General features: G+C 39.4%; 3 pseudogenes across 1 annotated transcript in view; 2 read left to right on the top strand and 1 right to left on the bottom strand.

The window, feature by feature from the left end:
- Nucleotides 1-19,817, top strand: part of ANKRD20A9P (ankyrin repeat domain 20 family member A9, pseudogene) — a 60,825-nt pseudogene extending 41,008 nt beyond the window's left edge. The window contains exons 15-22 of the transcript NR_138091.1: nucleotides 2,033-2,138; nucleotides 4,165-4,294; nucleotides 11,582-11,920; nucleotides 12,507-12,686; nucleotides 14,014-14,236; nucleotides 17,630-17,675; nucleotides 18,842-18,895; nucleotides 19,698-19,817. The product of NR_138091.1 is annotated as an ankyrin repeat domain 20 family member A9, pseudogene (transcript). The remainder of the gene's footprint in view (nucleotides 1-2,032; nucleotides 2,139-4,164; nucleotides 4,295-11,581; nucleotides 11,921-12,506; nucleotides 12,687-14,013; nucleotides 14,237-17,629; nucleotides 17,676-18,841; nucleotides 18,896-19,697) is intronic.
- On the bottom strand, nucleotides 20,912-21,130 carry LINC00328-2P (long intergenic non-protein coding RNA 328-2, pseudogene; annotated as a pseudogene).
- SNX18P26 (sorting nexin 18 pseudogene 26) lies at nucleotides 22,105-23,684 on the top strand (annotated as a pseudogene).

Here is a 24,382-nt window from a genome sequence, read left to right as displayed (position 1 = left end):
GACACTGTTTTGAGATGAAGAATCTCAAATGGGAAGAAGGGAGATGTCTACTTGACTGGAGCTTCCCAGTGATATATTTGAGTGTCCCCCAAAAGAAACTTTAGAAACTTTAGAACAAGACTTTCATCATGCCATATCTCTGGAAAAGGAAACTCTTTAAAATAAAACAAAGGCAAACAATTGATAATCTGATTCTCATGGGAAAGTTTTCATTATAAAAGAAAAAAGGGCTGGGTGCCGTGGCTCACGTCTGTAATCCCAACATTTTGAGAGGCTGAGGTGGGTGGATTACCTGAGGTCAGGAGTTCAAAAACAGCCTGACCAACATGGTGAAACCCTGTCTGCACTGAAAATACAAAAATTAGCCAGGCGTGGTGGTGTGCACCTGTAGTCCCAGCTACTTGGGAGGCCGAGGCAGGAGAATCACTTGAACCCAGGAGGTGGAAGTTGCAGTAAGCCAAGATGGCGCCGCTGCACTCCAGCCTGGATGACACAGTGTGACTCCATCTCAAAAAGAAAAATAAAAAGAAAAAAAGGGACAAAGTATACTGGTCCAAAAAAGAAGAAAGAAAGAAAAAAAGGACAAAGTATACTGGTCAATATCATAATGGTGAGACTGTCCCCCTTTAAGATTAGAAAATAACGGTATACTCAAAGTAACATCAATAAGAACCAACATAAAATAGACAAGATTCACTATCTACAAAAGTAATCTGTACCAAGTAGCAATGTCTTGAGCGTGTGGTTGAGAATATTGTCTATAATATGTGTACTAGAAGGAAGAGGCCTCAAGAAAAAGGTCAGAGCTCGAAATGCAGATTAGGGAATCTAGGTCAAAGTTTTGAGATTTTAGGAGTCCTGAGAGAATTTAAAAAGTGGAATAGCAGCCAGGCGTGGTGGCTCACGCCTGTAATCCCAGCACTTCGGGAGGCCAAGGCAGGCAGATCATGAGGTCAGGAGTTCAAGATCAGTCTGGCCAACATAGTGAAACCCCATCTCTACTAAAAATATGAAAAATTAGCCAGGTGTGGTAGCACACGCCTGTAATCCTAGCTACTTGGGAGGGTGAGGCAGGAGAATCGCTTGAACCCAGAAGGCGGAGGTTGCGGTGAGCTGAGATTGTGCCACTGCACTCCAGCCTGGGTGACAGTGGGGGACTCCATCTCAAAAACAAACAGAAAGGAATAGGACTGAAGAACAGAGGTTGCTGCATTTAGAAATGAAGCGGGGTCAGAGGAGCAGAGGGAACATTTGGTCACTGCTCGCAGCTGCTGCTGAGTAAAGGAGGATAAAGTCCTTCATGACCCTTGGACTTTTTTATTGGAATTATGAAAAATCAGATTTCCATATTAAAAACACAATAAGTGATGAAAAATAGATTTCTGGATGAGACCATGTGTCACAGAGTCCAGTGGAAGGGGAGAAACAGGATAATAGAAAAACCACAAAAAGTAGACAAAAGTTGTGTTTTTGTTTATTATAGAAAAAAACTTTATTTAAAGAGAAAGGGTTAAGAGAAAGGGAAAAACTGAAACCTGTGGGTGAATACTTACAGAGAATGACAGTATTTAGCTCAACCTGAAGACAGATGAGGATCAAAAATGTAATGGGGAATAGATAAGAGTTTTCTAAAAATCGTCTTAGTAAGATGTAATTTAAGAAAACTTGGAATATCTTAAACTATTAATGACAATGTTTCTAGAGCATCTTTAAAAAGTAAAATGTAAATATAACTACACATTTTTTACTAACCTTTAGTATTTTATGTGTAAAAACCCTTGTTTGTAACGAACATTTTTGGCAGTTTAAATTTCAGAAAATATAATGAAAGTATGTATCATTTTTAGCAGTTTTAAGAAAAGTGACTGTTTTTGAAATCTGCACTTATTGGCATCAGGTTTATAAAATGCACTTTATACCCCTGCCTAAATACATATTACTTATCAACTTATGAGAAATAATATTTTTAAGATAAAAGAGGGTCTCTAGATTTTACAAAAATAATTTTAAACAGTTTTTTTTAAGCCTGAAGAAAAAAATGAAGAATTAAGGAAACTTTTTAAGTTAGTATCATCACTGGAGTATAATGTGAATCAAATAAGAAAGAAAAATCATGAATTAGAAGAAGAGGCAACTGGGTGTGGTTTTCATATTGTAGAACATGTTAATCATTTATTAATTGATTTATCACTAATTTTACTTGACTAAAACTGAGATACAAATTCATTTTATGTCTCCATTTTCATAATTAAATGAATTCTATTTTAAAATGTATTTCAGAAACTCACAACACAACTTTATGGGCATGTGCATCATGGGGTTGGGAGTCAGCTGAGCTGCTGGGGTGAGGTTGGGATGAAAAAATTTGTATTAAAATATGTATAAAAGAGAAACATCTGAAAATTTTTTGAATGCCAAAATATTATTTATTTATTTATTTTTACTTTTATTTATTATTTTTTTTTTGAGACAGTGCCTCTGTCTCCCAGGCTGGATTGCAATGGCGCCATCTTGGCTCACTGCAACCTATGCCTCCAAGCAATTCTCCTGCCTCAGCCTCCTGAGTAGCTGGGATTACAGGCATGTGCAACCACACCCGGCTAATTTTTGTATTTTTTAGTAGAGAGGAGGTTTTGCAAAGTTGGTCAGGCTGGTCTCAAACTCCTGACCCCGTGATCTGCCCGACTCAGCTTCCCAAAGTGGCACGAGCCACCGTGCCCGGACGCTTATTCTTTAATGATTTTGAAAACAATGACAAAGCCTTGGGCATATAATGTCAAGTCCACTCTTCATTACCTAGTTTGAATTTTTATTTCTGAAGTTATTTTTGCTGTCTGTGGTCATCTTTTCTTCCTTTTGTAGTATCCTCTGCTGCATTCAAATTCTTTAAAGAAGACCTATTGTGTCATTCTTTAACATCAAAATTTATCTTGATATATAGCTTCTATTTTGTTTCTGCTTCTTTTTCTTTTAGACATAAAACATATGGAAATGTACTCATTTTACACAGATACCTCCATTGTATACACGAAGTATACATGTTATTAAACTTCTGTTTTATAGAAATAAATTTCATATATATAAAAATATATGTATAACTTAAAATGAGCATTCATGTTTTGATCACAGATTTTTTTTTAAAATGGAATGTGTCTTTGAAGCCCTGAACACAGCTACTTTTCTATTTATTTACTGAGCACTTAAGTTGGTTTTCTGATTCTAATCTACATTTTTCTGTCATTGCCTTTCTCTACATTGTTTTGTATCTCTTTCATTTTGTTGACATTATGTCAGCAAAGATCTCTAGATCTCTTCTTCAAAGTCTTTAAATCGTCACACATCTCTCTGCCCCTTTCTTGGTCTTCTCTTTTTCTACATTGAATAATGTCCTTGATGCTTTTTGTGTGTACTTTTTTTTCTTCTTATAGACTGTGAATGGGTATTAAAATGTAATTTTTTGTCTTTTTCAAATGTATGTGTTTTACTTTTTTATCTTGGTTACTCATTTCTGGGTTATGGCTTATATTTAGTAATAGGTTATTTTATCTTAGCATACCAACATGGATATGAATAGTTTATTTACAAAAAGTGTATGGTTAGGCCAGGTGTGGTGGCTCACACTTGTAATCACAGCACTTTGGGAGGCCAAGGTGGGTGGATCATTTGAGGTCAGGAGTTCAAGACCAGTCTGACCATTCAAGGCCAGTCTGACCAACATGGTGAAACCCCATCTTTACTAAAAATACAAAATGAGCTAGGCGTGGTGCTGCATGTCTGTAATCCCAGCTACTTGGGAGGCTGAGGCAGGAGAATCACTTGAATCCAGGAGGCAGAGGTTGCAGTAAGCCGAGATCACACCATTGCATTTCAGCCTGGGCAACAAGAGTGAAATTCCATCTCAAAAAAAAAAAAAAAAACAACAAAAACTGTATGGTTGTGATACCACTTTACCTGCCATATATGCCATAAAATTGTTCTTCATATTATTTATCTAAGATTATACTTTCATATAGGGTGCTTCCAAACTATGCTCAGTTGAAACTGAAAGGATCATAGTTTATAGATGTGTTTCTTTGATATGCTATAACATAATATCTGTTTAAACAATTTTAAAATATTTACTCTTAAAAATATTTGACTTACTAATTCTGTACATTTCTGCAGATATAAGAAATTCCTGGAAATGACAATAAATATGTTAAGTGTATTTGGAAATGAAGACTTCGATTGCCATGGAGACTTAAAAACAGATCAACTGAAAATGAATATTCTGATTAAGAAGCTAAAACATAAGGTAATTTTTTAAAGAAAATATCAAGGTCTAGATTACATGTGTGAGATGTGCAGGTTTGTTACATAGGTAAACGTGTGCCATGATGGTTTGCTGCACCTGTCAATCCATCACCTAGATATTAAGCCCCGCAGGAATTAGCTATTGATCTTGATGCTCTCCCTCTTGACCCCAACAGGCCCCAGTGTTTGTTGTTCCCCTCCGCGAGTCCATGTGTTCTCATCGTTCAGCTCCCACTTATAAGTGAGAAAATGTAGTGTTTGGTTTTTTGTTCCTGCATTAGTTTGCTGAGGATAACAGCTTCGAGTTCATCCATGTCCCTGCAAAGAGCATGATCTCATTCATTTTTATGGCTCCATGATGTATATATACCACATTTTCTTTATCCTATCACTGATGGACATCTGGGTTGATTCCATGTCTTTGCTATTGTGAATAGTGCTGCAATGAACATGCAAATGCACGTATCTTTATAACAGAATAACTTATATTCCAACATACGGTAATTTTAAATCAGTTTTGGGATTAAAAATCAAGTAATTTGGGAACATATTGATAATGGAAAAACCCAAATTCTACCAAAATATGTTGAGAAAATAGAGGATAAATATATCTTTTCAGACTTTAAATGCATCAGCCTCTTAGTTCATCTTCCCCAGATCTGGGAAGACCTAGAAGGGGAGAGATTGGGCTACATTAATGAGGGCCATTTCAATCTCTTGGCCCTGCAGCAGCCATTTCAAAATATGTCAGAAAAATATATTTGGGGGTTAAATATTTTGATTTCCTTCAGCTTCTTCTCTCTGTGATGCTGTACCAGAATCAGGTGAGAAAGTAATCCACATTATAAGAGTTAATAAAACCCATCTGATGAGATTTAATAGTTTGAAGTGTGTGATTCTCAGACCCTTTAGATAGAAATCGGGGCCAAAGAAAATGAGGTCTTATTCCTCAATATAAATCTCTCAGTGCTTTAAGCAGTCAAAGAAAGATTTTTCATTTAATTTTACAGAATTGATACTAATGAAAAGGATAGTTTTTAAAATATAAACCTTTTTTCTATAAAAAGGACATGCTGTTGATTCTCTTATGTCTTTAACTCTGGCCAGTGATCTGAAACCAAGCAGTACCTGTCTCCAGACCACTAGTACCAAATTAATTTGGGGGGGCTGGGTAACAGGTTTATTGAGAAATAATGAACACACCATGCAAGTCACTCATTTAAAATATACGAGTCATTGACTTTAGTATTTTCAGAGAGTTATGCAGTCATCATCACAATCAATTTTAGAACATTTTCATCACCCTGAAAACAAACCCCACATCACTTAGCCATCTTCACTAGTTTCCCTTCCTCCGTCGGCCGTAGGGAACCACCAACCTCCTTTATATAGATTTGCCTATAAGCCTCTGAAATAAAAAGCAAGTGGTCTACTGTGACTGGCTTATTTCACTTAGCATAATTTTTCATGCTGCATCTGTGCTGTAGCAGGTATTGATGTGGGGTTTTTCTCATTAGTTCAGCTACATCTGGGTTCTTCTCTCATGACCAGGAAAAATTAAGCACGCAGACACATTGAAGGGTGAGGAGGACAGAATTTATTAAGTGAAAGGAAAGCTCTCAGCAAAGAGAGTGGTCCTGCAAACAGGTTTCCACCTCACAATTGAATACCAGGAGCACATGAGCTGAAGTGGCCAGGCTCCTCCCCTGCATAAGGCGTGAATTCCTGGTGGCTCCACCCCATCCCCCCAGTGCATGTGGGCCTCTGATCTGCTGCAGGCATGTCCAGGCAAGACAAGTCCAGGTTCCCTTATCTGCACTTAACTTCTGGTGTAAACACTTGTGGGGCTGGTTGGAGATTCTCCAGGGACCCTTCCATATCTGCCTAGGCATTTTGCTGTCTCCTTCTAATACAGTATCAGTACTTAATTTCTTCTTATTGCTGAGTGATATTCCATTGTATGGATACATCAAACAGTTTATTTATCCATTCACCAGGTAATGGACCTTTGGGTTCTTTCCCACCCAAAGGTGATGGACGTTCTGGTTCTTTCCACTTTCTGACTCATATTAATAATGCTGCTGTAAACATTTATGTATGAGTTTTTGTGCTTCCATGATTTTTATTTTTCTGGAGTATATACTTATGACTGGAATTTCTGGGTTGTATGGTAACTTCATGCTTAACCTTTTGAGGAGCTGCCAGTTTGTTTTCCAAAGCGGCTGCATCACTTTACATCTCCAGCAGCATTGGATAAGGGTTTTAATTTCTTTACATTTTTCCTAACACATTTTCTCTTTTTTATTGAACAAAGATTTTATCCTGTGGTGTGAAGTGATACCACATGTGGTTTTGATTTACATTTTCCTAATGACTAATTACATCAAGCATCTATTAATGTGCTCATTATCCATCTTTTCATCTTCTTTGCAGATACATCTATTCAAAATCTTTGCCCATTTTAAAAATTGAATTATCTTGTTACTCATGAATTGCAAAGGTTCTTTACATATCCTATATATGTAAGTCGCTTATCAGGTATATGCTTTTCATATACTTTCTTCTACTTAGTGTCTTGCCTTTTCACTTCTTGATACTGTCTTCTCAGGCACAGCAGTTTTCAATTTTCAAGTCCATTGAATCCGTTTTTCCTTTGGAGTCATAGCTAAGAAAACACTGCCAAATGCAGTCACAAATATTTATGCCAGGGTTTTCTTCTGAGAGTTTTATAGTTTTAGCTGTTACAGTTAACTGTTTTATTTTGAGTTAATTTTTAAAAAAGATATTTGGTCCTAATTTATTTATTTTTTGCATATGGATACCCAGTTGTCCCAGCACCATTTGTTGAAAAGACTATTCTTTTCCCATTTTGTTCTTTTGTTAACTTTATATAAAATCAATTGACTGTAAATGCACAAGTTTATTTTTAGATTATCAATTCTTTGTTTATGTCTATTCTTATGCCAAGGCCAAAATGAATTTACTGAGAAGTTTTTTTCAATCATGTTGCATATTACCAGTTGTCTTATGTTGTAATAAAAAATTAAATTTAGTGGAATATCTTTAATTTCACCTTTTGTGTCTCAAAGGAGTCTCTGGCCAGCTTATACCTCACTTACTCTAAGACATGATGGGAAGCCAGGCCTATAAGACATACTTTATTTATTTTTTCTCCATTCAAATCTTTAGTCTCTTTTTCATTGCCTCCCGCTATAGTTTTGTTTTCAGTAAGTTTTGGTCACAGGATCTGCTGACATAGTCTAATATTTAGTGCATTATGTTTTGCTAACTCATTATAATTCATAGAATCTTCCATAGATGTTTACCATCCAGGAAGGAGAAGTTTAAGTCTGAGCCGCCAGCTTTCCTCAGTGGAAATCAAGTGAAGTCATCATCTTGCAGTTCACAGATCCTCTTTCCCCCTGGTAGCTGGTTCTCTTGGGTAGCACTGTGGCTAATCCTTTTCTTGGTGCAGATCTTGCATTCTCAGAAACCACAGTTAGCTGTATTGACCGCCTTTTACTGAAACAGAGATGCACAGCTCTGCTTTCTAGCTCAGTAGAGGATTCCTGGAATATAAAGTTTAACTCATTCCAAGAAAAGGTCTTAGGAGTGCAGCACTTCAAAATCAGGTAATATTCAGGCAATTTATCAGAGACACATAGTAGATTAGTATTTTGACTTTCAAAATTTCAGAGCCAAGTTGTGTGCTATAGAGAAGTCTTGTGGTAGAGCATAGAGATGGGATGGTCTTAACTTCTCCAAACAAACAAGCTTGAAGTAAGGTAAAGGAGAAATTGCACTTGATTGCTTAACACTCAAAGCACACTATGTTTATTTTACTTCTGTGAAGACTAAAAATCATTTCATAATGTTCTCATTTCCTCATTGAGAAAAGGAAAATAAAAATTAAATACTAGATTGATTAATAAATACTGAAAGCTTATCTTTTAGAATTTTAGTTAATTCAAATCAGGTAAATGTCTGATTTTGATTGTGTAACCAAGTATTTCTAGTTTTTTTTCATACCATATGTCTTCTTCTTGCTTCCCAGTCTTATTTCCTAACTTGAGGGGAAACCGTAAGGAGACACCCTTGCCTTGTTATCAGAGTTCATAATTGAAGGAGTTTTAGGAAAAGTTCCTCCTCAGCAGCTTATGTCTCTGTCCTGGTTATCTGCTGCTTCTCAATAATGTTTGCCATCAATAAATTAACCTCAACATTTATTAGATCCTACTTTAAAGGAGACTCTTTTCTGCTGCATAAGTTATGTTTCCTGTTGTCTCTTTTTAAAAGTTACTTTTCTAACAATTACCCACAGTTTTGTGGCTTAAAAGAAAAATATTTATTTTGTTAATGAACCTGTGGTTTGGAAAAAGCTTGGCCAGGACAGCTCGTCTCTACTCCCCTCAGCTTCCCTAGGAACAGCTATCAGTTGGGGAAATGGAATCCTCTGAAGCGTTACTCACCCACGTGTTTGATGGTTGATGCTGGCCATTGGCTAGAACCTTGGTTGGGACAGGCAGTATGAACACTGACACTGGCACTGCCAGGTTCTCTTTGTGGCCTGAGTGCTCTCACAATCTGGGGGCTGGGTTCCAAGGGAAAACAGTCTGAGATAGGTAAGCCACATGGTATCCCTTTTACTGCATTCTATTCATTAGGAGGAAGTCAGTAAGGTTGGCCCATATTCTGTTTTTTTAAATGGGATCGATGTAACTTCTCTTTTGTTTTAATTGACACATATATACATAATTGTGTTATAGAGTGATATTCTGATACATGTAAATAGGGTGTAATGATCAAGCTAACTAGCACATTTACTACTTCAACCATTTTTCACTTCTTTGAATTGTGAACATTCACAATCTTCTGGCTTTTTAAAAATATACAAGAAATCATAGTTAACCATATTCACCCTACAATGCCGCAGAACACCAGAACTCATTCTTCTTATCTAACTGTAATTCTATATCCATTAACCAACCTACCTTCCCCTACTTCTTTGAGATTTTTGTTGTTGTTAAGAGACAGGGTCTTGCTAGTGTAGTCTGGGCTCTGGGCAACTATAGTCACCCAGATGGGAGACAGTGGTTTGATCATAGTTCACTGCAGCCCCCAACTCTTGGGCTCATGTGATCCTCACACCTCAGCCTCCTGAGAAGCTAGGATTATTGAGCATGCACCATTGCACCCGTCTGATTTTTGACTTTATAGAAATATCTCCCTATGCTGCCCAGGTGCTCTGGAACTTTTGGCCTCAAGTGACTCTCCTGCCTTTGTCTTTCTAAGTGCTAGGAAATTACAGGCGTCAGCCATGTTGCCCAGCCCTCAATTTTTGTTTAGCTCCCACACAGGAGTGAGAATGTGCAGTATTTATCTTTCTGTGTCTGCACTTAACATAACATCCTCCAGACTGATCCACGTGGCCACGATAACAGGATTTAATTCCTTTATACGGTGAATAGTATTCCATTGTGTATGTGTGCCACAGTTTTTTTTCTTTTCATTTGGAGATGGATATGTAGGTTGATTCCATACATTAGCCGTTGTGAATAGTGCTACAATAAACATATGAGGACAGGTATCCTTTTGATCTATTGTTTTCTTTTCTATTGCCTGAATACCCAGTAGTGGGCTTGCTGGATCCCTCGGCAGTTCCATTATTAATTTTTTGAGGAAACCTCATGTTGTTTTCTATAGTGGCTGCACTAATTTACCTTGCCACCAACAGCACGTAAGAGTTTACTCTTCTCTGGAACCTCACCAGCATTTTTTTTTTATCTTTTCAATGATAATAATTTATTCAAATTGAAGCAAGATTATATCATATTGTAGATTTGATTTGTATTTCTCTGAGGATTAGTGATACTGAGCATTGTTAAATTTATTTATTGGCTATTTGTATTTCTTTTTTCTAAAAAAAAAGTATAGTTAGATATTTTGCCCAATTTTGAACTCAGATTTTTTTTTTACTGTCAAGTTGTTTGAATTTCTTGTACATTTTGGATATTAGTCCCTTATTAGATTAATAGCTTGATGATATTTTCTCCCATTCTACAAGTTTTGTCTTCACTCAGTTGTTAGCTGGACAGAAGCATTTTAGCTTAATGTAGTACCATTTGTCTATCATTTGTTTTTTGCCTATGCTTCTGATATCTTACCCATAAAAATCTTTGTGCAGACTGTCCTCAAGAACTTTCCCTATGTTTACTTATAGTAGTTTGATAATTTTGGGCCTTGCATTTCAGTCTTCAATTGATTCTGAGTTTATGTTGTTATATGGTGTTACATAGGAAGCTAGTATCATTCTTCTCCATATGGATATTTAGTTTTCCCAGCGCCATTCATTTGAAGAGGCTGTCCTTTCCCCAGTGTATGTTCTTGGCACGTTCATCCAAAATCACTTGGCTGGAAATATGTGGATTTATTTCTAGGTGCTGTATTCTATGGCCTTTACCCCAAGAATCATTACTTCTTAAAATGCAACTCAAATTAGCATGAAACATTTGCAGTTTAAGGAAAGGCTTATGGCATCAGAATACTTATTTATAGGATTCATTATTTTGTGTTTTTTTGAGATATGGTCTTTGTCTGTCATCCAGGCAGAAGGGCAGTGATGTGGTCATAATTCACTGCAGCCCTGAACTCTGGGTACAAGCCATCCTTTTGCCTCGGTCTCTCAAATAGCTGGGTCTACAGACATGAGCCACCATGCCCGGCTAATTAAAAAAAATTTTTTTTTGTAGAGATGGGGCCTCACTATGTTGCTCTGGCTGATCTCAAATTCCTGGCCTCAAGTAATCTTTCTGCCACAGCTTTTTAAAGTGCTAGGATTACAGGCACGAGCCACCATGCCTAGTATAGAGTGTTATATTATTTTCAAAGTCTTATTCCTAGAGCCATTTATTGACTTCGGCCTAAATAACTCAATGTGATATTTCTGAAACTTTTTTTGACATATTATGGGGAATGATAATGAGGGAAGGGGGATAGACACTTTTTACTAAGAGATAGCTTAGTGCCATTTAAGGAGGAACAAAAAATTATCAGAAAAATAAAAGTAAGATGAAGTGCAAAAGTTCTGTGGCAAAGATGATGATAGTTAAATAATGTATTTTTGTGACTCATGGTAGCTTTAACTTTGTTCTTAAAATTCTGAGTAATTTAAGGGTTCACATTTGAATAATTTACTGCACTACAAATAACAGTTTATTCCAAGTAAATGCATTTCAAAATTTGCTATTGATTTTGTATTAGATTATTCTCAGCCTACTTCATTATCAAGCTATACTATTTTATTCATGCAGTTTGATGATCTTACAGTAGAGAAGGAAGCTGTATCTTCAAAATGTGTCAATTTGGCTAAAGACAATCAAGTTCTTCAACAGGAGTTATTATCGATGAAAAAAGTACAACAGGAATGTGAAAAACTTGAGGAGGATAAAAAGATGTTGGAAGAAGAAATATTAAATCTTAAGACACATATGGAAAACAATATGGTAGAACTTAGTAAACTACAAGAATATAAATCGGAGCTAGATGAAAGGGCAATGCCGGCAGTAGAAAAATTAGAAGAAATCCATTTACAGGTTAGTTTTTTAAATCAGGTAAGTTTATCTGTAATGTGCTTTCCTTTATTTCACCGCAAATTATATTTTGGATATGTGTATATTGTGTTTCCTCTGCCTCTCTTGTAGCAATTTGCTTTGTAGAGTTTTAGAAAAAAAATGGCATCTGTTTTTTCTTTTAAATATTTAAATTTCCATTATTATAACAAAATCAATCTTTCAGAGTAATGATTCTTACTATGGAGTCATTTGATGATTAAGACCAGTTGGCATAAGAAAAAGTTGTGATTTAGAAATTATGTGATACTTTTGAATTGGTCTTAAGCTACATTGTTCGTTGATCACTTTTTAAAATTATGAATGGATTCTGTTGCTTTTTATATGACCAGATTACGTTAATACTAACATAATTATGATTTCAAATTTTTATAAATCAGACTTTATTCTGAATTCAGTTATTAGTTTTGATACTGCTGATAAATATTTTAAGCTTCAGCCTCTTTTTTTAACATATTCAAAATTGCTCTTTGAATCACTGGCTCAAAATGAAAGGCAACAAACATAATAATTAGGTTATAATTATTTTAAAAATATATTCTTTTCATTTGTTTTAGAAACAAGCACAATATGAAAAACAATTAGAGCAGTTAAGGATAATACGGCTTCACTAAATAAGAAGGAACTCACACTTAAAGATGTGGAATGTAAATTCTCCAAAATGAAAACTACTTATGAAGAGGTTACAACCAAATTAGAAGAATATAAGGAAGCCTTTGCAGCAGCACTGAAAGCTAACAATTCCATGTCAAAAAAATTAACGAAGTAAGTCCAAACATACACTCATAGAAAATGAATTCAGCTCATTAATTTGTTTTGAAAGCATAATTTTTAGTGAGATGGCTTCAGGATATTAGTAGGAAGTGAATGCTAATTTGACAATGTAATTTTGGAAAATAATGTTAGTAAGTAATCTTACCTTTAAAATGTTAGTCAAGGATAGTTTCTGTCTCTCCTCTCATTTTTTTTTTGTTTTGTTTTTGTATGGCTTTTTTCCCCTGAAAAGTCTGTTGTAGTTAATCTGTTAGTTTTTTTACTAAGTATTTTTGAAGCTTTATAATTAATAAAGTGATCTTGTTTTAAATTACTTGTCAGAATTTCCATAAATAGTAATATTAATGAGTTTACTTTTCGGTAGATCACGACCTAAACCCAAAGTGTCAAGTGGTACTGATACTCTGGGCACAATCGTTTTTGATTGTGATCTTTAGTATTATCACTAGAGGGTGCCTCAAGAAAGAATATTTGTGTAACATATTCAAGATGTTATAGAAAGGCATCCTTATGAAATAGGGAATAATTATCACAGGAATTTAAAGAAGTGTAATTCACAAAGTGGTTAAAAAATAACACCTTGTTCAGTCTGAAGGGGTGTGTGGAAGGCAAAAAGAACAAGCCCCACCTCCAGTGCCTTGGTCACAGTGCTGGGGGCTAATTGCCTTCAGAGATGCTTTAGTTCTTTTTGATCAACAACCAAACAATCTAGTTCTCCCCTAGGAGTTGTTGCTCTGAATTATTCCTCATTACCAAATGTTTAATTGGTCCTAGATAATTGGTGAAATGTACAAGGGTGAAACCTAAAACTGGTTTACTAAACACAAGTATTCCTAGATTTTTTTTGTTCATTTTAGTTTTCTTAACCTACCTTAAAGAGTACAACATGATGTTTTGATATAATTATTTCTAGTGAAGTGGTTCTTATAATCAAGCAAATCAACATATTCCTTTTCCCATGTTGTTACCCTTTAAATACAAGTATTTCAAGTGGAATCTTCAGAATCTTTCAAGTAGAGCCATTTTAGAAGGCAGCAAGTTTTACCTGTTGAGCCATACATCACTGGTAGCCATTTCTCTTCCCTGTTTGAGCTGCTTGTTCAGTATAAATCACCTTAGAAACACAGGTGCTTCTTTAGAATGATTTTAAAAGTATAATTCCTTGCAACAGGTATGCTCTCACACATCTTCAGTGTGAAAACACTGTTTAGTGGGTAATTTGGTTTACTCTCAGGGCAAGTTTTTAAAAACTACAAGTCATTAAGAATCATTTAAGGAAAAATGAAATACTAAGCATTTGTCTTTGCTATCTTTATAGATCTAATAAGAAAATAGCAATGATCAGCACCAAGCTCCTTATGGAGAAAGAGCGGGTGAAATATTTTCTCAGCACTCTTCCTACAAGGCGAGGCCCAGAGTCACCTTGTGTTGAAAATCTTACTAGTATAGGACTCAACAGAAAATATATTCCCCAAATGCCCGTAAGAATTCCTACTTCAAACCCCCAGACCTCAAATAACTGCAAGAACTACTTGACTGAGGTTCGTTATATGACCGTTTCTTTTTAGGGTTTCATTTCTCTAGCGTAATTCTTGTTTTTAATTTGGTGAAATACTGAGTTGTTCTGTTGACTTATGCATGTTAAGTAAAGATCATAATTAGCTGTGTTAACACAGAAAGGAAATGGGAACGTTACATTTTTTAATTCCCTGGAGCTCTCATTTTTGAGAGATATCCATTTGCTAACTTTATTCAATAAATGTGACTAAACTGACACGTTTAAAATGTCTTTAAAAGCTGCATTTATGTTAGGTTTTAGAAATTGCATGTTATTGCCTTATAACTGATGATATACTTTGAGATACTTTGGCTTACTCTCTAATTGATTGTAGTTTAGCTGTGGTTCATACCACATTTTTTTTTCTTTTTTTTGAGGCAGTGTCTCACTCTGTCACCCAGGCTGGAGTGTCGTGGTGCCATCTCCATTCACTGCAACCTCCACCTCCCGGGTTCAAGTGATTCTTCTGCCTCAGCCTCCCAAGTAGCTGAGACTACAAGCACCCACCATTACACCCAGCTAATGTTTGTATTTTTGGTAGAGACAGGGTTTCACCATATTGGCCAGGCTCTTCTTGAACTCCTGACCTTGTGATCTGCCTGCCTCAGCCTCTCAAAGTGCTGGGATTACAGGCATGAGCCACCGCACCCGGCCCACGTCACTTTTAAGTTTCTTTGCACCAGCCAGGTGCGGTGGCTCATGCCTGTAATCCCAGCACTTTGGGAGGCCGAGGCAGGTATGTCACGAGGTCAGAAGTTCAAGACCAGCCTTGCCAAGATGGTGAAACCCCATCTCTACTAAAAGTACAAAAAAAAAAATAGCCAGGTGTGGTGGCGGGCACCTGTAATCCCAGCTACTAGGAAGGCTGAGGCAGAGAATTGCTTGAACCTGGGAGACAGAGGTTGCAGGAGCTGAGATCGCACCACTGCACTCCAGCCTGGGTGACAGGGCAAGACTCCATCTTGAAAATAAAAAATTAAAAAAAAGTTTATTTGCACCATCTCAACTCTTCCCACCCATAATCACAACTGAATGATTGGCATCCAAACACTTTACCACATATGGATGTTTATTATTTAGTAGAATCCAAAATAATTGCATTTTATGAATTAAACCAAACACTAAAATGTTCATTTCCATTTTTATGTTAAAAGCTTTGTGCTTGGCCAGGCGCAGTGGCTCACACTTGTAATCCCAAAATTTGGGGAGGCCGAGGCACGTGAATCACCTGAGGTCAGGAGTTTGAGACCAGCCTGGTCAACATGATGAAACCTGTCTCTAGTAAAAATACAAAAATTAGCAAGGCATGTTGGCAGGCGTGTGTAATCTCAGATACTCAGGAGGCTGAGGCAGGAGAATCACTTGAACCCAGGAGACAGAGGTTGCAGTAAGCCAAGATCATACCACTGCACTATAGCCTGGGTGATGGAGACTCCGTCTTAAAAAAAAAAAAAAAAAAGGCTTGTGCTTTTCTTACATAAGAGTACATCTTCTGACTATAAAAATCCTGGAAGAAAACCTAGGAAATACTCTTCTAGACATCATATTTGTCAATTTATGGCTAAGTCCTCAAAAGCAATTGCAAGAATAACAAAAATTGACAAGTGTCATCTAATTTAGCTAAAGAGCTTCTGCACAGCACGAGAAAGTATCACGGGATTAAACAGACAGCCTAAAGAATGGAAGAAAATATTCACAAACTATGGGTATAGCAAATGCCTATTATCCTATTATCCAGAATCTATAAGAGACCTAAACAAATCAACAAGCAAAAAATAAATAACACCATTAAAAATGGGCAAAGGACATGAACAGACACTTCTCAAAATAACACATGTAAGTGGCCAACAAACATTAACAAATGCTTACCATTGCTAATCATCAGAAAAATGCCAAACAAAACATCAGTGAGATACCATTTCACACCAGTCAGAATGACTTTTGTTGAAAAAAAAAAAAAAAAGATGTTGGGGAGGCTGTGGAGAAGAGGGAACACACACTGTTTGTGGCAATGTAAATTAATTCAGCTACTATGGACAGCAGTTTGGAAATTAAGAACTAAGAATAACCGTTGGATGCAGCAACCCCATTACTATACTGGGGGTATACTGAAAGGACAATAAATCATTGTAACAAAAAGATGCATGCACATGTATGTTCATTGCAGCACTATTCACAATAGCAAAGACATGGAGTCAATCCAGGTGCATCCAAGGTAGATTGAAAATCCAAGGTAGATTGGAAAATTCCATATATACCATGGAATACTAAGCAGCCATAAAAAGAACAAAATCACATCATTTGCAGCAACATGGATACAGCTGGAATCCACTCTCCTAAGCAAACCAATGCAGAAACAGAAACCAAGTATCTCATGTTTTCACTCATGTGGAAGCTACACATTGGGTGCACATTGTCATAAACATGGGAATAATAGACACTAGGAAATAAGAGCAGGGAGGGACAGAGTGGGCCAGGGTTGAAAAACTACTTACTGGGTCCTACGCTCACTACCTGTGTGATGGGCTCAATTGTACTGCAAACCTCGGCATCCCTCAATATGCCTTTGGAAGAATCCTACGGAGGTACCACCTTAATTTAGAATACAAACTAAAAAAAAAAAAGAAAGAAAAGTTTACTATAAGTAGAGAATAGAAATTTCTTTTTAAGTTAAAATTTATTAAAGTAAAAAATGGATTAAACTTTTATAAAGGGCAGAGTTTTCTAAGAATTTCAAAGCAATGCATTCATTGCAAAAGATGGCTTTAATTACTTAATTATTATTTTTTTTTTGAGACAGGGTCTCACTCTGTCACCAGGCTGGAGTGCAGTGGTGCAGTCTTGGCTCACTGCAACCTCCATCTCCTGGCTTCAAGCAATTCTCCTGCCTTAGCCTCCCAAGTAGCTGGGACTACAGGTTCACATCACCACGCCCAGCTAATTTTTGTATTTTTAGTAGAGATGGGGTTTCCCCACGTTGGCCAGGATGGTCACCATCTTCTGACCTTGTGATCTGCCTGCTTTGGCCTCCCCAAGTGCTGGGATTACAGTATGAGCCACCATGCCTGGCCATTGTTTAACCTTTGTACTAATAAAACACTACCTTTCTAAAATCATGTAATGCAATAGATCAATATTAACTGTATTTTTGTCCGATTACTCTAAACAGCATTACACATATACATCCTCTGTTATCTAAACTTAAAATAAGTAGAAATTTTAATTTATTTATGTGATTATTTTTCTATTTAAGCAAACTTCAAGTTATGTCTAGTCACTAAAAATACTAAAGGCCACATTTTGTAAATGATACATTATTTTCATGATAATGTTTCTTGTTTAACTTAAACATTATTATTATTTTTACTTATTTTAGGTGGAGCTGGACTGTGTAGAACAAATAATTAGAGAAACAAAGAGAAGTATGTTGCCAAAATTTTTAAATTAAATTTAGGTTTATTTTAGAAATAAAGTGTAAATAGCAAATGGCATTCCTTTTCATTCTTGGGTTAGTAGATACTACGTCAAGTATTTTTTTCTTACACACATCTAATGAAAGATGTGAGAACAAAAACTTTCACAGAGAAGACTGTACTTATGCACCATAAATTCATCATGTTCTGTAGCTTAAAAAATTCCCAAGAAGTCTGTGCATCTCTTTTTCACTGGCTCTACACTTTCTTAAGTTTTGCCATCCTCATGGAACTGTCAGCCAGCACACTGAAACGATTCTCAGAAAACACAGGCATCATCAAGTTCTCAGGGTTTTGGTAGAAATTGAAGGCCAACAGACCTCAGACTCATTCAGAAATGCTTAGTTGAGCAATAACCCTTCATAAGCAGTCACTTGACAGGTGACATTTTAAATCTCCTGTCATTTACTGTGTCATTGGCTTACACTTGTTCTCAGGAAACATTCCAGATTTTTCACCATGAAATAAAAACACCCATGTCAATGTAATTCTTGTCAAGTTACTCAGCCTTGTCTCTCACCACTTACTGCACTCTGCCCTTTGCTCTAGCCCAAACTGGATGGAGGGGAACTCTGCAGGGCTCTTCCTCACCTCAGGCTCTTTGCCTTCGCCTCTTCCCTCTATCTGGCAAGCTTTTCCTTGTCCTTCAGGTATCAACCTATGTTATCTCCTCCATCAGAAAGCCCATGATATTGACATAAAAGTGGGTAGGTGTCCCTTCTGTGTGTTCCAGTAGTGCCCTGCTGTATATCTGTCATGGTATCTATGACTCTATATGGACATTACCTGCCTGTCTGTTTTTTTAGGCTATGGCATATGACTGTTGAGAGGTGGACCACACCATCTTCATCTTGTAATTCCAGTGCTGGTTCTAGTACCTTGGCACATGGCTGTTGATTACATGAATGAAGAATGAAAAAGCTCTGATATTTAAACACAATTAGAATTAATGCCATGTTAAATTATTAAATAGTAATTTTGTATCGTAAATGTACATACATATTTCTCATACTTATTAACTCTGATAAAGTTCACAACTCTTTAGTTTTTAAACTCACACTTAGTTAACTGAAGTGTTTTATTTAAAGGACATAATTCTTTATTTTTCTTTCTAGCTGTTGCTGTGTTGGACACTTGCTCCCATCTATTTTCTTCTCTAGAATCCACTGGTAAGCCACATCTAATGAAGAGAATATTTAACCATAAAGTTTTAAGGAAAAATTGTATGATTTAAAAGATTATAAAACTTTATTACTGGGCTATTTACACATTTTAATTGTTTCTCATAAAATATATAACATTACAATATTTACTGAAGTAGGATATTTTTGTATCATATGTACGATGATAATTTATAGGGTATTTTAAATGATGTTTTTTAGCCTCCTTAAGTTTTAAGTGGCTCTTGCAAATGAAAACAAGTATTATTGAGTTTGACATACTCAAATTGCCCAAATATCAGCTGTTTAAACAACCAAGTCATCATTGATACTTTAATAAAGGTTAGTAAAGGTCATCGAAGGCTTATTTGCAGTTTACAGTTTTTATTACTTAGGAGACTTAAGGAGTACCTGCCAGGTTTGTCCATGCTAACGCTACGATTTTGTTTTTGTAGTTCAACTATATTTTGTATGGAGATACTTTGAGGCTCTGTAAATATCTGGTTATTCCTCAGAACCCACTAGATTTAGCATTTCATGGATGACTTGTGTTTGAACAATTATTACTATGATGGTTGCCAGATGATTATTTTCTTATTCTCTTCTTTGTTCTACATGGAGAAATAAAACCAATAAATAAGGGAGAAGGAAAGCTCATGATTCTGATGCTCCAATTCCCCAAGATTAGGCCAGTGGTAGACATTCCAAGCCGACTTGATGTGTTTTTGATTTGTCTCCATTACTCTGTCAGCACTTTTTTACTTTCTGGCACAAGGTGTTCTCAGCTCATCGTGTATTTTCTCTGCCCCAGCGCTGGAATGAGTCATTTTTTTTAGAAGCAGAGGTGGAGCCACTGAGGAAGCACAGGCGAGCCCTCCCCAGCGTGTACTCACTGGTCCCCAACAGAAGAACAGCTGCCGCATCCACTGAGGTACCAAGAAACTAGCAAAGGGCCTTCTGGCTCTCTGGGGACAGTCCTCATGTGGTCCCTGGCTCAGCCTCAGAGGTTCTGGATTAGTCTTCCTGTAGCCTCTGTGCTGTGTCTTTAGATCGGGGCTCTGTGGGAAGGGCCCTGAGAGACCCAACAGCACAGTGTGTCTCATCTGCCAAATGTCCCTCCCTTCCTAACACTCTGACACTCAGGAATAGGGTAGATGGCGTGTCCAGGCAGTGCCAGGCCACCTCACTGTCTCCTTTGAGATGGGCCCAGAGGGCCTTTGGGGTGAGTGTGGAGCTGGAAACCTGGAGCCTGAGGCCGACTGTCTCTCCCTGTGTCTTGGAGGAAAGGCCATTTCCCAAAAAAAACCCCAGGGCCTGACCTCTGGGCACATATGCAGGGAGGGAGGGTCTGTGAGCTGAGGGGGACATTGTAATAAGACTTTGAGCACGGCTGCTCAGGGGCCTGGTCAGTGGACCATGGTCAGAGGTGACCTGGTCATCAGGACCTAGTCATTTGGGACCTCATCAGCAGGCGCCTGGTTAGTGGTGGGCTCCTCAGTAAAGGCCTCATCAGTGGGGACCTGGTGACCTAGTCATTGGAAGCCTGGTCAGTGGGGGGTACCTCATCAGTGGTGGCCTTACTAGTGGGGCCTGATTGGTTGGAACATAAACAATGAAAAACTGGTTTGTGGGGCATATACAGTATACCAGGGGCCTGGTCAGTGTGGGACCTTGGTGGCTTGGAGCCTGGTCAGTGAGGGCCTGGTCAGAGGTGGCTTGGTCAGCTGGGGACTCATCCATGGAGAATTGTTCAGTGGGGGGTCGGGTGAGCAGCAACCTGGTAAATAGTGGTCTTGTCAGTGGGAACCTGGTCTTGTCACTGGGGACCAGGTCAGTGGAAAATTGGTCAGTGGAGTCTGGCCCATGAGGCCTATTAAGTGCGGGCCTGGTTAGGAAGACATGGTCAGTGGGGACTTGATCAGTGGGACCTGGTCAATGGAGGAGTGGTCATTAGGGGCCCCATCACTGGGAACCTGGTCAGCGGCGGTTGGTCAGTACCTGGCCCGCTGGCCACTGTGTGACCTCAGGGGGTTTGTCTGTGGAACCTCACCTCCATCTGCAGGGAAGGTGAGTCAGGGCACCCTGGAGGGTGGCTGGAAAGAGAAGGTGAGAAGATGTGTTGAATACAATACTGTTTGGCAGACCTACAACTTTACAAATTACCTGTGTTCCACCTAGAGAGGGTGCCAGCCCTCTCAGCATTATGCAGTGCCCCTCCTCTGTCTGCATCCCCAGGACCACCATGGGTGGGGAGGACAGAGATTGGGGAGCACCTATAGAGGCTCTAATGCTCTAAGGTGACAGTGATGAGGACCTGGGTGCACCCATGAGTGGAGAAGCTAGGCCTGTCCAGAGAAGTAAGACAAACACACACATATGTGCGCACACACAGGCACACATGCATACACAAACACATTGCATGCACACATGTCAGTTCAGGGGATAGAGGACACTGACTCTGGGCCCTGTTGACCCAAGCAGGCTTCCATTGTGGTGGGTTGTGTCACCCAACAATGTCACTGTTGCTGAGTTCCCATCGCCTCTGTGTTGTGGAGCAGTTAGAGACACACAGCAGTGTCTGTGAGTGGCTCTGTGTGAAGGACCGTTTTCTAGATGAGAGGCACATCTCAACACAGCTCACTGACTCAGGTGAGTGGGACCTGCTCTCTTCTCTTCCTCCTGGCTTGGGGACAGTCACTATGAGGTGGGTGGTTTTGGCCTCTGGGCAGCTACTGAGGGGAATCCCTGAACACTCACCGGGTGTCTGTTCTGTGCTGACGGTCGTCTCATCCATCCTCGCAGCAATTCCATTCTGCATTTTTCTCATCACCCCCGTGACCACCCAGGACAACCCCATCAGGGCCCTGTCACCAGGCCCAGTCCAGCTCCATGATAACCAAGACGCAGGTTCAGAGACAACCGTCCTGCATCGTGCCTGCGTCTGAACCCCCTTGGTGGGTAGTGACCAGCACAACATGGAAGAAGCCAGGGCAGCATGCGGCCAGCTGCTCTGCAGCCCCAGATGGCTCCTGGGCCTTGGGAAGTCATTCTTAAAGGGGAAGCTGGTCACTTTGAGGTCCCTGAAGGGAAGGGTGAACGTGCATCCCAACAGCCCTGGCAGCCAGCAGCATGCCATACATCTTCTCACCCAACCTGTGTGACAGAGGCCCCCTCCTGGGGCACAAGTCCCATACCTAAAGCATCCTGTCCCAGTTGGACCTCATCCTGAGCCCTGGGAGGGGAGGGGCCCCATAGGCCCCCCTGCAGCAGCCAGGATTACCACCCAGGGGACTTGGCCTTCTGTGGCCCTGGCCAGACTTAGAATTTGGCCCAAGAGAAGACAAACTCACTCGGAGCAGCTTGTCAGTACCCGGGACCTGTGTATGCCAGGAGAGGCCAAGCTGGCTCAAAGAGCAACAAGCTACCTCTGCAAGGGTGTGCCAGGAGCAGGTGGACCAGCCACCAACCTCCCCCACTCAAAGGAAACAGGGATGGCCAGGTTCCCACAGCCTGAGTGACCACCACCTGACAGCTGATGGAGTGGAGGCCTGAGGAAAAGCAGATGGCACTGGGGCTCTACCTCCAGGGCAGAATAACTGATTTACCCTGACTGGCAGGGAGTGAGGTTGGTGGCTGGTCCACCGGCTCCTGGCACACCCTTGCAGAGGTGGCTGGTTGCTCTTTGAGTCAGCTTGGCCTTGCCTGGCGTGCACAGACCTCAATGCAACAAATGTGCTGCAAATGGAGCCACATAGAGGAAATGAGCAGCAGGCTCAGGAGCGGGGTGTGCGCTGCCTTTCGGGCTCCATTCCATGCATCAGGGCTTCTACAGCACCGTGGGCTTCTTGGATGCCAAGAGGCAGACCACAGGCCATCTTGAGAAGGACTCTGGTAAGAGCTTACTTGGGTATGTGGATGATGTCCAGGATGTTGGCCTGGTGTCCCTGAGACAGCATTAACAGGTCCATGACTGGGTCCAGGTCCTGCCTGGGCTGATTGGCAAAGAGCTCACTGACAGTGTGGAAGGCATCTATGGTGAAGTGGTGTCTATGTTCAAGTGCAGAAAGGGCCCAATCTGGTGGATGAACCACACGGCCAGCTTCTGGATGCAGGCACAGTGCCACATTTTTTGTCACTTCCTGATGCGCCCCACCAGCACCAAAGAGACAGCCTGGAGACAGGGCAAGAGGAAGGCTGAGAAGGATGAGTTGGTGAGTGCCAGATTCTTCCTGGCCCTGAGCCCACCCCCAGGGCGACACTCAACCTTTAGAGTGGGAGAGCAAGATTGATGGCTTCAAGTGCTTCACCAAGAAGATGGACAACAGGGCACTCACCTCAACTTCACAGCCAATGAGTGGTGACAGGCTTTAAGAAAGAGCATCAGAAGGCTGCCAGTTCTTCAGCCTCAGCCAGGCCTTGGAGCTGGACCAGGCCATTCACTTCAGTATAGATGCCTTCCACACTGTCAGTGAGGTCTTTGCCAATCAGTCCAGGCAGGACCTGGACCCAGCCATGGACCTGTTAGTGCTTTCTCAGGGACACCAGACCAACATCCTGGACATCGTCCACATACACAAGGAAGCTCTTACAAAAGTCACGGAGAGCAGACAACAAGTGGCAGAAGGGAAGATAGAGGTGCAGAGGCTGATGATGTCAGAATCACAGGAACAGCATTTCTTTGGCCACTTTGGCTGAAATTCACCACTTCCATCCAATTCCAGTGAGAGACATGGACTCACAGATGCAGCATTTCTTGCAACAAGAGATACTACTTTTTCAAAAAGTCACCCAGGAATTGATAGTGTTGAATGACTTGATACTCCATTGTGGGCTGTTTCCAGTTCAAGGATACTTTCTACAGCAGAATAATAACACTAGCAAAGAGCTAGTAGAAGGATGGTTTTGTGCTCAACTGAAATCCAGCTGAATACAGAATTGTATAGGAAACAGTTAATATCGTGATAGAATAGAAACAGTAGCAAATGTGAACTAAATCATGCTATGAATGCCTAAACTACCGCTGTAACTTTTGGAAAAATGATAATACCACTTTATTGCTTTTTGAAGTATGAATATTTTAGTGTATATGCTCTAGACCTCAAACCCTATAAAGAGTCTCAAAGAAGTTGGCTGGATAAAGCCTGCTGTGGATGTCTTTATATTCAAAGATTGATGATGCAATTCGAATATGTGTCCACACCGAATCTCATGTTGAGTTATATTTCCTAATGTGGAAGGTGGATCCTGCTATAAGGTGATTGAATTATGAAGGCAAATTTCTCATGAATGGTTCAGCACCATGCCCTTGTACCATCCTCACAATAATGAGTGACTTCTCATGAAATCTGGCCACTGAAAACTATGTCACATCCCTACTCTCTGTTTTCCCCTTGCCATGTGAGACAGCTGATTCTTCCTTTGCCTTCCATGATTATTGAAAGATTTCTGAGGCCTCCTAGAAGCAGAAGCACTGTGCTTAGAACCATGAGACAATTA

The sequence above is a fragment of the Homo sapiens genome, chromosome 13, assembly GCF_000001405.40.
Source record: "Homo sapiens chromosome 13, GRCh38.p14 Primary Assembly".
Taxonomy (NCBI): domain Eukaryota; kingdom Metazoa; phylum Chordata; class Mammalia; order Primates; family Hominidae; genus Homo; species Homo sapiens.
Note: the sequence above shows the minus strand (reverse complement) of the source record. Positions and strands in the feature narration are given on the sequence as shown.